This window comes from Homo sapiens, chromosome 8 (assembly GCF_000001405.40).
Source record: "Homo sapiens chromosome 8, GRCh38.p14 Primary Assembly".
Lineage (NCBI taxonomy): Eukaryota > Metazoa > Chordata > Mammalia > Primates > Hominidae > Homo > Homo sapiens.
In genome coordinates this window covers 19,078,302-19,091,738 of record NC_000008.11, presented here as the reverse complement: position 1 = coordinate 19,091,738, position 13,437 = coordinate 19,078,302, and the positions used below count along the sequence as shown (strand labels likewise).

General features: G+C 44.2%; 1 protein-coding gene across 5 annotated transcripts in view, besides 2 other annotated features; it reads left to right on the top strand.

Annotated features, from left to right (window-relative positions):
• Positions 6,385 to 7,178: an enhancer, noted in NCBI's record as "H3K27ac-H3K4me1 hESC enhancer chr8:18942071-18942864 (GRCh37/hg19 assembly coordinates)". NCBI's record gives its function as "activates a minimal SCP1, AML or CMV promoter by ChIP-STARR-seq in naive H9 embryonic stem cells {active_cell/tissue: H9 hESC(naive)}" and the evidence as "EXISTENCE:reporter gene assay evidence [ECO:0000049][PMID:30033119]".
• Positions 6,934 to 13,437, top strand: part of PSD3 (pleckstrin and Sec7 domain containing 3) — a 557,503-nt gene continuing 550,999 nt past the window's right edge. For all 5 annotated transcript variants that reach the window (NM_001412865.1, NM_001412866.1, NM_001412868.1 and 2 more), the window contains exon 1: positions 6,934 to 7,533. In NM_001412865.1, the coding sequence (NP_001399794.1) occupies positions 7,210 to 7,533 (324 nt within the window). In that variant the 5' untranslated portion in view covers positions 6,934 to 7,209. The remainder of the gene's footprint in view (positions 7,534 to 13,437) is intronic.
• Positions 7,179 to 7,972: an enhancer, noted in NCBI's record as "H3K27ac-H3K4me1 hESC enhancer chr8:18941277-18942070 (GRCh37/hg19 assembly coordinates)". NCBI's record gives its function as "activates a minimal SCP1, AML or CMV promoter by ChIP-STARR-seq in naive H9 embryonic stem cells {active_cell/tissue: H9 hESC(naive)}" and the evidence as "EXISTENCE:reporter gene assay evidence [ECO:0000049][PMID:30033119]".

The following is a 13,437-nucleotide window of genomic DNA, read 5'->3' as shown; positions in this document are numbered from 1 at the left end:
CTCCCCCTCCTAACAACGCTGTGTCCACACCCCTTGTCACCATTGTTAGGATTCTAGAATGTTCTTTTTCTCTGTTGAAGTGATGAGAAGAAATCACTAGCACAAAGTATACTTTTAATGATCTGTTGTTTGCATTCATAGTTTATGAATCTTGAAGGTCTGTGGTGCTAGCAAAAAAATAGGGCCTCAACTTAGCATTATTTCAGAGCAAGAAACCTTGAGACTTCAGAGGAATCACAAACGATGATTAGTTTAGAATTACTGTTAGTAATAATAATATTATTATAACAACATTCATCACAATTCAAGGATCTAACATACACAGTCATGTGTTGCTTCATAACAGGAATATGTTCTGAGAAATGCATCCTCAGATAATTTTGTCATTGTCGAACATCACAGAGTGCACTTTTGGACACCTCAGTGGTATAGCCTACACCTAGGCTTTCTGGTCTAGCTTACTGCTCCCAGAGTACAAACCTGTGCACCATATTGCTCTACTGAATACTGTTGGCATGATAATACAATGATCAGCATTTGTGTATCTAAGCATATCTAAACGTGGAAAAAGTATAGTAAACATACAGTACAAAAGATAAAATATGGTCCACCTGGCCAGGTGTGGTGGCTCATGCCTGTAATCCTAGCACTTCGGGAGGCTGAGGCGAGTGGATCACTTGAGGTCAGAAGTTTGAGACCAGCCTGACCAATATGGTGAAACCTCATCTCTACTAAAAATACAAAATTAGCCAGGCGTGGTGTCGCACACCTGTAATCCCAGCTACTTGGGAAACTGAGGCAGGAGAATCACTTGTACCTGGGAGGCAGAGGTTGCAGTGAGCTGAGATCACACCATTGCACTCCAGCCCAGGCAACAAGAGCAAAACTCTGTCTCAAAAAAAAAGAAAAGAAAAGAAAAAAAGGTCCAACTATATAGGGCACTTACCATGAATGGAGCTTAAAGGACAGGAAGTTGCCCTGGGTGAGTGAGTGAGTGAGTGGTGAGTGACTGTGAAGGCCTAGGACGTTACTGTACACTACTGTAGGCTTTATCAACATAGTTCGCTTATGCTCCAACAAATTTATTTTTAAAATATTTTTCCTTCTTCAATAATAAATTAACCTTAGCTTACTGTAACAGGTTTACTTTATAAACTCTTTTATTCTTTTAACCTTTTGTCTCTTTTGTAGTAGCACTTAGCTTAAAACACAGTTTCCAGCTGTAGAAAAATATTTTCTTTCTTTATATCCTTATTCTATAATAAAGCTTTTTTCTGTTAACATTTTTTTCTTACTTTTTAAACTTTTTTGTCAAAGACAAGGGCACAAATACATACAACTGCCTAGACAGGGGTCAGGATCATCACTATCACTCTATCCCCCCTCCAAATCCTGTCCCACTGGAAGGTCTTCAGGGCTAAAAACAAGCATGGAGCAGTCCTCTCCTAGGACAGCAATGTCTTCTTGTGGAATACCTCCTGAAGGACCTGCCTGAGGCTGTTTTACAGTTAACTTTTTTTTTTTGAGATAGAGTGTCACTCTCACCCAGGTTGGAGGGCAGTGGTGCAATCTCGGCTCACTGCAGCCTCCACCACCCAGGTTCAAGCGATTCTCCGGCCTCAGCCTCCTGAGTAGCTGGGATTACAGGTGCCTGCCACTATGCCTGGCTAATTTTTGTATTTTTAGTAGAGATGGGGTTTCACCATGTTGGCCAGGCTGGCCTCAAATGATCCGCCCACCTCGGCCTCCCAAAGTGCTAAGATTACAGGCCTGAGCCACTGCACCCGGCCAACTTTTTTTATAGGTAGAAGGAGTACACTCTAAAATCATGATAAAAAAGTAAATACATAAACCAGTAACATAGTTGTTTATGATCAAGTGTTACATACTATAGTACGTATTATCAAGTATTACGTAATATACATAATTGCATACAATTGTATGTGCCTGGCAGCATAGTGGTTTGTTTACACCAGCATCATCGGTGATGCACTGTGCTATGACATTACGACAGTGACCACATCACTAGATGACAGGAATTTTTCAGCTCCATTTTAATCTTATGGGACCACCCATCACTAGCCGAAATGTCATGTGGTGTGTGACCTTACATCAGTTTTATGTTTACAAAGTATTCCTACATAGATTATCCCATTTGACCTGCAAAACAATTCCATAAGGTAGGAAGGGCAGAAATTTACTCCATTGTGTTAAAATAATGTCCACTGAGGTTCAAATTTGTTGTGAGTCACAGCTAAAGATTAGTTACTCCAGAACTCAGACCCATTTCCCCGACCCCAACTCCCTTGCTGACCCTCCTACATCCCAATTAATTCCTCAGCCCTTAGGTGCTTTCCCATCAGACAGGAAGCATGAAAACATGCATGTAATTACCCGTTGCAGGTTAAAAAAATTATACATTTCATGAAACAACTCAAATTGTTCTGTTGGGTGAACAAGTTTTCTCCAGGATAACATGTGGATCTAAATTCTAAAAGTAACTAACATTTATTTTACAGAACCGATTAGGTAGCAGGCAATATGCTAAGGAAGCCTTTTGCACCTGCACTTAATCTTCACAACAGCCCTTGAAAGTAGCTATTTTTTTTTAACTTTTATTTTAAGTTCAGGAGTACACGTGCAGGTTTGTTATATAGGTAAACTTGTGTCCTGGGGGTTTGTTGTACAGATTATTTTGTCACCCAGTATTAAGCCTATACCCAATAGTTATTTTTCCTGATCCTCTCCCTCCTCCCACTCTCCACTCTCCAATAGGCCCCAGTGTGTGTTGTTCCCCTCTATGTGCCCATGTGTTCTCATCACTTAGCTTCTACTTATGAGTGAGAACATGCAGTAATTGGTTTTCTGTTCTTGTGTTAGTATATGAACACTTTTCAAAAGAAGACACACATGTGGCCAACAACTATACGAAAAAAGCTCAACATCACTGATCATTAGAGAAACGCAAATCAAAACCACAATAAGATACCATCTCACATGTGTCAGAATAGCTATTATTAAAAAGGAAGTAGCTATTGTTACTTCATCTTAGAGAAGAGGACCTGATTGTCAAAAAGGCCAAGTAAATTATTGATATGGTTTGACTATGTCCCCACCCAAATCTCATCTTGAACTGTAGTTCCCATAATCCCCCATGTGTCACAGGAGGGATCCAATGGGAAGTGACGGAATCATGGGGGTGGTTACCTCCATGCTGTTCTCGTGATATTGAGTTCTCACAAGATCTGATGGTTTTATAAGAGGCTTTTCCCTTCTTTGCTCTACACTTCTCCTTGCTGCCACCATGTGAAGGACATGTTTGCTTCCCCTTCTGCCATGATTGTAAGTTTCATGAGGCCTCCCCAGCCCTCCAGAACTGTGAGTCAATTAAACCTCTTTCCTTTATAAATTACTCAGTCTCTAGTATGTCTTTATCAGCAGCATGAGACCAGACTAATACACTTGCCTAAGGTCACACAGCCACACAGTGGAAGCAGGGCTAAGAAATGTCTGTGTGGCACCAAAGTCTGTGCTCTCAAATCACTCTGCTGTTTACTCATGTTTCTCTGGCACTTTCCCCCACATCTCACACAGAGCTCCCACCCCCTAAATGCGCCTCCTAATACTTAAGGGTGTCCCAAGGAAATGCGTTACATGAATCCTCCAAGTCAGCCCTCCTGTCAGCTCTCAAGTGTCATCCACCATTTATTTACCCTTCTCCTATTTCAGTCCACACAACCCAGAAATGAAATATTGGGCAGTAATCCCCACTGTGGTGAGCTTGCAAATAAAAAGAAGACAGAAGTGCCCTGGACACGCTACCAGCACCACCATGGTTTCCTTGGTACTTTACTTCATGTGGTTTAGAAGTTGGATGTTTGAAATGGAAAGAGGTGAAGGAGTGAAACTTCTCATCCGACAGCTTTTTAAAGCCCCTGCCTACTTGGGGCAGTTGTGCCTTCCCTGAGCTTCACATTCCTTAACTGCAACATAGAAATGATGCCACCTACTTCACAGGATTGTGCTGTGCCTTGAATGAAATACACTATGCAAAGCCCCTGATGTCATGCTTGGTACCTTCAGAAGGTTTCTTCTCACCCAAATTCCTGTTCCCTATGAAGACATAGTTTCCCATGTTACTGGCAGTTAATCAGTCAACACGCAGTACTGTTTGTTGAGCGATTACAATGTTCAGACAAGTTCTTGTATAGAAGAGTGTGAAAATTACCTATAGAGGACTAGTCATCACTTATGTAAAATGTTTTATGAACATTAATGTAATGAGATCAACATACAATTACAGTTAGACATAATATGGTTTTGTCAAAATTTTCTTTGTAGATGTGATAAAAAGGATTATAGCAGCCGGTGCCTGGCCTAAACAGATTTGAGCACATTTCTAAATGAGATGTAGATTGAGTCACTTGCCAGCTATTGGAAATGTGGGCAAAACCTCCTTGACCTTTGGTGAAAAAACTTTTAAAGTATGAAGACGTTTAACAAGGAAAACTATCATAAGACTCCAACTGGGCATCCTGGCATCCTGAGAATTTCCAAGGATTCAGCCTGGTCAGCCACGGTCAGCCAAGGCCAGTGGCCCCTGATGCCTCAGGGGTGCTGCCCGTGTGCGGGGATACTGAGGAGTCAGGGAGGGAGAATTCACCCAGGCTTCACATGATGCTGCATGCAGAGCAAGGAAGTTCTAGACCACATGCTCACTTTGTTTTGGAGGATGATTTCCTGGTTCCCTTTTAGTCAAGTTATTTCACATTGACGAAGACTAGAGCTTTCTCACACCTGCCTTCTTTCCTCCTCAGGTACAGGGTCAGCATGACTCAAAAAGATTCCTTTCCCCCTAAGAGGTACTGAGCCTATAGAAATACTCTGAATGTGAGTGAGTCAACTGAATTTTAAGGTGATTTCTTTTCTTCTTCCTTTTGTCTCATTTTTTATTTATTATACTTTTCAATTGCCTATTACAATTTGCTAAAAAGAAATGATCTCCATTTTTAAAAAGCACTGCCATGTTCTCACAAGTTAAAAGATTAGATTATTTTTTTCTTTCCTCTAATTAAGATGGGCTAAATTATTTTTCAAAACAACAAAAACAACAACAACAAAAAGCCCTTCCAGCCTGATTTGTTACCTGGATTTTTTTTTTTAATCTTATTTCTTCTTTCTCTCTTCTTTCATGTTTTTCTTTTTTCTTAGTTTTTTCTTTCTTTTTCTTCCTTTCTTTCCTTCTTTCTTTCTCTCTCTTTCTTTCTTTTTCTTCCTTCCTTCCTTCCTCTCTTTTTCTTTTTCCCTTACTTCCTTCTTCCTTCCCTCCCTCCCTCCCTCCTTCCTTCCTTCCTTCCCTCCTTCCTTCTTTCTTCCTTTTCTCTCTCTTACTTTCTTTGATGCTAAGTGTCTTCTGCACAGCTGCAACAATATACCACTTTCTTTTCATTTTGTGGGGTAATACCAAATTTCTTTCATGCTGCTCTAAGAAAATACCATAGACTGGGTAATTTATAAAGAAGTGAAATTTGGTTTCTCACAGTTCTGGGGACTGGGAAGTCCAAGATCAAGGCACCTGGTGCCTCGTCTGGTGAGGACTTTGTCCTCTGGAGGGGAGGAATACTGTGTCCTCATTGGGTGGAAGGCAGAAGGGCAACCTACTGCTCAACAGCTGTGTGAAACTTCTTTTATAAGGGTCTTAATCCCATTCATGAAGGAAGGCACCTTCAGGATCCAATTGCCTCTGAAAGGTCCCACCTGTTAATACTATCACATTGGCAGCACCAGAATTTTGGAGGAGACACAAACCATGACACCAAGTATTTTGATGTGGGACCTCTCCTACAGAACCCATAAATGACCACAGATTTAAAGTGCAAACTCATGAAAACATTAAAGTTGCTTACAACTGTTTGTTGCGCACTTTATCCTAGAGGTCTTAAAAGTATTTAGTAAAAATAATGCAGACAAAGTAGATGAAAAGTACACTTCAAAGCTTATTGGAGGCTTCATTTATAAACCAGTGTCTCACAGGTCAGTCACCAAGTAACAAGAACAGCTAACACAGAATTTAGGATTAAATTATGAAATGAATAGTGTTTTCATTTCAAATAGGAGGAAGGGGGCAGTGAAGAAAAAGTGATTCCATGTAGATACACAAAGGTGAGAGGGGGCCGGCCGCAGTGGCTCACACCTGTAATCCCAGCACTTTGGGAGGCCGAGGTGGGGCGGATGGATCACCTGAGGTCAGGAGTTCAAGACCAGCCTGGCCAACATGGCAAAACCCCGTCTCTACTAAAAAGTACAAAAATTAGGTGGGTGCGGTGGCGCGTGCCTGTAATCCCAGCTGTTCCGGAGGCTGAGGCAGCAGAATCACTAAAACCTGGGAGGCGGAGGTTGCATTGAGCTGAAATCACACCACTACACTCCAACCAGAACAATAGAGCCAGACTCTGTCTCAACAAAAACAAAAACAAAGTTGAGAAGGGTTGTCTTGACTGTCCTCACTGTCACCCCTCACTTGTAGATTATTCTCCACTAATATCTTTTTGTGATTCTGTGATATAAGTGCAAAGTCCAGCTCCATGGCCAAGATCATTATCTGACCCCCCTATTTTAAGACTCCCCTGGGTGCTGAAGACATGTTGTTTGCTTCCTCAGGCTGTCGGTGGAACCATGGGGCTGAGTCACGTCTGCCCACAGCTGCTGCTGTTCGCATCCCTGGGCACTGAGGCCTGAAACTCCACCCTGGCAGGGACCAGCCCGACCCCCCTGGAGGAAATGGCCGGGCAGTTTCAGCAGCAGCAGATGAAAACTTCCTTCCTCTTCATCCAGCTGCGGGCTCCTCCAGCCTGCACTCTCCCCGCCCCGTCTCCAGCGGCAACCCCAGGGGGCCTGGAGGAGGGACACAGTTTCCCAAGTCCCAGGACAGGCCTCTTGGCAGGCTGGGACCTCAGGCGCACACAGGGCTCAGCTGCCCCTCCTTTGAGGCTGCTGCAGAAGGCAGGCCCTGAGACGGAGGAATCAGCTGCTTTCACTTGCTCTGCTCCAAAGGAAAAGAAGGAAGGGAGGAAAAAATCCCAGGATCCGGACGTAAGCAGGGGTGGTGATTGCAGATCCCCACATCACAGGCATTGCCAGGCCCCTGCCTCCAAGACACTGGGCTGGCTACAGCCCCTGGCATGGAGGCTTCCTAGCCCAGCTCCCATCATGAGTGATGAAAGCAGCAGTCCCTCCATGGGCTGGAAGCACTGGCCAGTCACTTCTGCCACCCAGGATCTGTGGGGCATGGACCCCCGATGCAGGGATGCCTTGGGATGCTCCCCTCCAAGGGCTGTCCTGGTCCACGCTGCAGATGGAGCGGAAAGGACTGTGCTGAGGAGAGGCGCCGAGACCTGCCAAATACTCCCCAGGAGCTGTAAGGAGGCCACAGGTACCACAGCGCAGGCGACAAGGGCATGGCTCTACAGGTACTGTCCAGCTGTGCACACCAGCAAGGGCTGCCCAGCCCCGCCTGCCACTCTGCCTCTCAAGGTAAGAACTCGCATGTCCTGAATCCCAGCAGAAGAAAGGGAGCCAGGGGACAGACGTGCCACCCTGGCCTCCAATTTCTGGCGTTGGTTCTCTCCTCTGCTTAGATGGGCCACACCTCAACAGCAGAGGTACCCACGAGCCGCAGCCTTCCCAGGCCTGGCATTTGCTCTGTCCTCTGCCACCTTCCAGGCCACCAGAAACATTTTGTTTGGAAGAAGGCAAGGATTAACTATTTCCCAAGATTTCTGCCAAAGATGGGAAAAGAAAAGTCAGGCATACTTTATAGGGGAACACCAGAAGGAAGGACAAAGGAGGTACCCAGACATTTATTGGGTCCTGTGATGTGCTAGGCATTTTCTCACATCCCCTTACTCATCTTAACCACTTTGAGAAATAGAGCTCCACAGCTCCAGTTTCAGATGAGGGGATGGAGATGTGACTGGGCAAACATCCTCCCCACCCTTGCAGAAACACAAGGGCAAAAGCAAAGCTTGTTCTCCAGAATGGGCATTGGGAACAATGGGGGAGGCTCCAGGGAGCTGTGGAGGTTTCCAGAACCGGAGCACAGCCTTGGAACTCAGCCACACCCTACTGTCATCCATGAACACCTGACTTTCTAGGGCTCTCATGTACCTTCCATCTCCCCAACACACCTAGACCACCACCAAATGGATGTGCAGCCTGGGACAGGAGCCTCCATTCCCCATCAGGAAGGGAAAGGCAGCCCTGTGTGGCCTCCAAGGTCTTTTCCAGCTCTGTGGGCTCCTGTTTCCAGCTCTACGGGCTCTGCCTCTGATCATGGCCTTGCCTGCCCTTGTTGTTAGCATCTCACACTCCGCACTTCTGGCCCAGCCTTCCCGTTGTTCTTGTGCCTGCAGCCCACCCTCTCCACCCAGCTCAGGTGCACTGTTCTCAAATTGGGTGGACAAAACTTAAAATTATGCATTCAGCTTTCTTTTCTCACAGTGTGGGCATCTTGCTATCCTTTGCATGTGTGTGAGCATGAGGGTGGAGGTGAGGAAGGGTGTGGAGGGTGGTGGGATGAGACGGAAGGAAGAGGGAGTCATTGGAGTGTTGAGGGTTAGCATGGACAGGAATCTCAGGGAAGTCACAGAAGAAATGAATGAAATTCACAGCATCTGGCAGGGGCCTCCCATGGGCTTAGAGGGGGTACTGCGTCATCCAAACACCATGCCCTCTCCTGCAGGCTTCTCACAGCACCCTTCCTTCCCTTTTCTCTTTTTAACAAGGGCCTGCGTAGCCACAGTTAAGAAACGGGGAGAAAGCTCTCCAGAGTAGCGCTCTTGGAGGAAGAGATGCTAGCATGCTTCCTTAAGAAATAGTTCACATTCCATCCTAATTCTTGCATCTCTCATTTCCTACCGGGATTTAGGAGGAATGACATACTCCTGCATCAGAGCCCATCTCTGTATGTGGGGTCACACAGTTATTGTTTGTGTACTTCAGTGCTGGCCTGATGACTTGAAAACCCCATCTTTTCCCACTCTCCCCTCCCGCCTTCGGGGGATAAGCTGAAGCCTCAGAGCTGTTGCCATTTCTCTGGGAAGAGGCACTTTGGGAATTGGTCCAAGTGTGTGGATCTCACCCTTGTCCACCTAATTCAGAGGGCTGCAAATGGGACCCCGACATCTGCTCGGTCTAAGTTAAAGGTTGGAGGATTTCTGGCTAAAAAGTTAGAAGCCCCAAGTCCAAGTCCTTATTGAGAGCAACCCGCCAGAGCTCTCTGAGGCTCAGTTTTTCCACCATGAAAACACTGATGACGTCCCCTGCTTCACATTGCAATGGAGATTTGCGGACTAAAGTGAAAGGGGCCCTCAGTAGTCCTAAGGGAGAAAAGAGGAGAAGCCAAATCAGTGAGACACCAGGTAGGACCAGGGAACCCATGGAGTCAGAGGTGGTCAGACAATGTGATTCCCTCTGCCATGGGGAGAGAGGAGTTGGGAAGTTAGCACCCTTAGATCCTGTAGGTGCCGTACGGCTATCACTAACCAGGGAACCCCTGCCCAGGGTTGGGTGTTAAACAAAGCAGCACAATAGTTTTTCCATGTGTCCAGCCCTGGACAGATTAAGGTGCTATCTAGACTTGAAAGATGAGTGTGTGAGAATTACTCAATCCTTTCATGTTTTAGAATGTAGCTATATGAATTGTCGCAAAGTATCAAAAAGCTGATTAAAATATAATATCTTCTTGACCACTGTGGATGCTAATGCCCTCGATCCCCCATAATGGAAGCTTTCAGTCGATGAACTTATGGAAAATGTGCTCAGTTATGTTTATTAAAGTGAAACGTTGGTTACAGGGAAGGAAACTCCATTCCTACACGTGTACAGTAGAGTTGAGGTCCTAGTGTCAATTTGGAAAATCCTGGATCTGAAGAGTAAACTTTCTTCTTTGCAGGATTCAAAATGGCTGAATTTATTCTCTCAGTGATGAAACATCACAGGCTCCATAGTAAAAAATCTTGGCTTGCATCTTTCCAAGTATTATAAGGAATGAAGAACAAATCTTCATTGGTTGGTTCTTAGTTTGTTCTATGACCAGGCTTTAGTAAAAGTAATCAGAGCGTTCTGTGACCTGGATGGCTTCCGTTGCATTATTTCCTCTTATGAAAATCTCGAAATTCTGCAAGGATGTATGTTATTATCACCCCACTTCACTCGTGAAAGGACAGATGCTTGCAGATAGTAAGCAACTCCATGGGACTAGGATGAAGCAGCTTGGGCCCAGCCCTCAAGTTGTCTACCCCCAGTCCAGGGCTCTGTCTGCCTTCTTTCACTGTCTTTCCAGCTGGCAAAATTTCCTTGGAAGTAACCCTACATTTCCTGAGGCCTGGTGGTCTGTACTGCACTCCTAATTCCTCTGGTGGAGAGGGTGGGAGAAAGACACTCAAGACTTTAGGTCTAGTGACCTAACCTTGTACGAATGAGTCCAGCCAGCTTTCTAGAAGCAGTGAAGGCCTAGGTGTTGGGGACGTGGAGTCTCAGCTCAGGGTGGTGCCAACGGACGGCTCTAACATTTCTGTGGTGAGTCTGTCAGTGTGAATCAGAGAATATTCTATGGGCCGGGACCAGAGCCTGCCCTAACCATCTCCCAGGCCTCATGTGCTGCTGCCCCTCTGTGGGAACCCAGGGAACTGTTCACATTTGATTTGAACTTGGGGCTAAAGATAAGAGGATAAGGAAAGCAGACCCAACTCAAAAGACAGGGGGGAAAAGCTTTCTCTATCATCGTTTCGGGACATTTCCACATCTTAAATTTTTTTTTGCTAGGTCTTCATATTTTACATATTTTGTGTCTTAAAATGGCAGTGACTTTTGGTATATAAGCAGCCTTAGAAAATTAGTGAAATAAGTTTTTTAATGTCCCTCATTTTTACTGACCTCAATTTTATCTATGGCCTTAAATTTGCGAAAAGATTGACTGCTCTATTTTGGTCTTCCTTTCTCCCTTCCTACCTCACCGTTGGTCCTCAAAACCAATTCACTTTTTGAGCTTTGATCACTAGCTTGTAAGACTGTTCAGGGTTTAGGAAACAGCGAGGAAATGAGCATGACAGGCAAGGAGCCAGCCAGGGGGTTTGTGTGAGAGGGAGACAGGCACTGGGACATCATTCATTTACCTAATCAATGGAAATGCAATGGAGGTCTATTTTCTCATGTGCAGACCCTGTCTAGCAGACTAGGAAAAATAGTGTGAATTCTCTGTCTTGGACTGTTACTCCTTAAAATCAAACTAATGTCTGAAATGTAAATCTATGAAGTACATTACCTTTTGGGTAGAAAGTTTTTGTTTAGTTCACAAGATAACAAAGAAGCTCTGGTTTTGCTGACAAACTAGTTCTGTGGCCTCTGACATCTCCCTGAACAAAGCTAGCTTCTCTCATTGTCTCCAGGAAATCTTTCTACCTCAAAAATTCTATAATACCTATGCATCTATGAATACAGAAAGGGAATGAAACTCTTTAAGGAAAGATAAGTATTAAAACAATTTATTTTGGCCAGGCGCGGTGGCTTACGCCTGTAATCCCAGCACTTTGGGAGGCTGAGGCTGGCAAATCATTTGAAGTCAGGAGTCTGAGTTCAGCCTGCCAACATGGTGAAACCCCATTTCTACTAGAAATATAAAAATTAGCCAGGCATGGTGGTGGGTGCTTGTAATCTCAGCTACTGGGGAGTCTAAGGCAGGAGAATCGCTTGAACCCAGAAGGTGGAGGTTGTAATGAGCCAAGATTGCACCACTGCACTCCAACCTGGATGACAGAGCTAGACTCTGTCTCAAAAAAAAAAAAAAAAGCTATTTTCTTCTATCTCAGCTTATCTCTAAAGATTCATTATTTTGTCAAATGACTTCACTACAGGAAACTTACCTATAGAGTGAGCTTACCTTTCTTAGGGAAAACTGGGATTTCCATGAGGAGCAAGACATTCAGGTATGAAAGAGTCAGTGCTTTCTTTGAACAGTAATACAAATTCCCACCACAGAATTTTGGACCGGTATTGCAAGCCGTCTGTCCTGTAATGGTTCTAGTTAAATAAAGTCCCCTATTACGAGTTGAACATTGACTCCCTGGTCTACTTAACCCCCAGGAAGCAGTCACTTACCTCATTAAAGGTAAACATTTCGTTATTCAAGCCTGTTTGACTTCTGGTCTGTCATAAGTTTAAAAGTTGTTTTTCTCATAAAATAGTATTCTAGATAATTCTGTCTTTATATTAATTCTACTTGGTGAGTCATTTAGAATTTTATAAAAGAAACTAGAACAAAGAAAGAGCATGCACAAATGCTCACATAGTAATTTTAACAGATATATAGATTAAATGTGCAGTGAAACATCCATTTTAAAAGAATGTGGTATTTAGGAGTCAGTATTGATGGGATTGAAAAGCTTATCTTTAGTTCATTTTACGCTACGTTGGTTTTGACACAGATGTCTTGATTTATTACTTGAATAAATAAAGCCTGAGATAGCAGAATGGGTTTCAATCCTTTCTCATCTTGTGATTTGCCTTAGTGTTCCCATGACAACGTTCTCTTGCTCTTTTTCTCTCCTTACCCCATCCTCAACATTCACACACAGGAGTCCTGTGGATCATTGTATAGGTGCAATCCTCCTGGAAGTTTAGCATCTGGATCCACCTATAGGAAGCAGAGGGCCAAGAGTGCAAGGACACCTTTACAGCTGTGTCCCTTGCAACATGTTGAAAAGCAATTGGATTGGGAGCTGGGACACAGGGGCTCAATGCAACTCCAATAGGTCTTGTTTTTCATCTCTCCTCTGCTATCTTCTGCTTGCCCATTCTTCAGTCTTCTCTGATCCCTCTTTCTCTTTCTGCCCATCTGCTTGCTCATCTCCCTACTCCACAGGGAGGAATTTGACCAGCACCACTCCCAGGTTTACATCTCTTTCTTTAGAAGACAATCCAGGCTAACACTGAATTCTCTTAGGCCTGCATCCCTGGGAGGAGACTTTTTGCTCTGATGTGGGCTGGTACCCACTAAGTCTACTATGGTGGGCACAGAGGTAGGTGCGGCTCACATTGTGCTAACAGGGGTGCTGAGATCCTGAAGATGGTTACACCATGGAGGTCTGGGAAAGGGACAACTCATAAAGGTTGATGGGGAGCAGAGAGCAGAGGAGAAAATACAGACAGCCAACCCAGTCAATGCCCAGAAACACTTGCAGGGAGTTGTCAGCTGAGAGTGGAAAGTGATTGCTTTGTTTAAGTATTCTATCTGAGCTCTCTCCAATTTAACATTTTGAGATTAAATTATACATTACTGTATAATTAATATAGAATCTATAAATGTACTATAAAATTATACATGTTATAGACTTTGGGGAGATTTTTAAAAACAGCATCCTTTGACTTTGTAATATATTA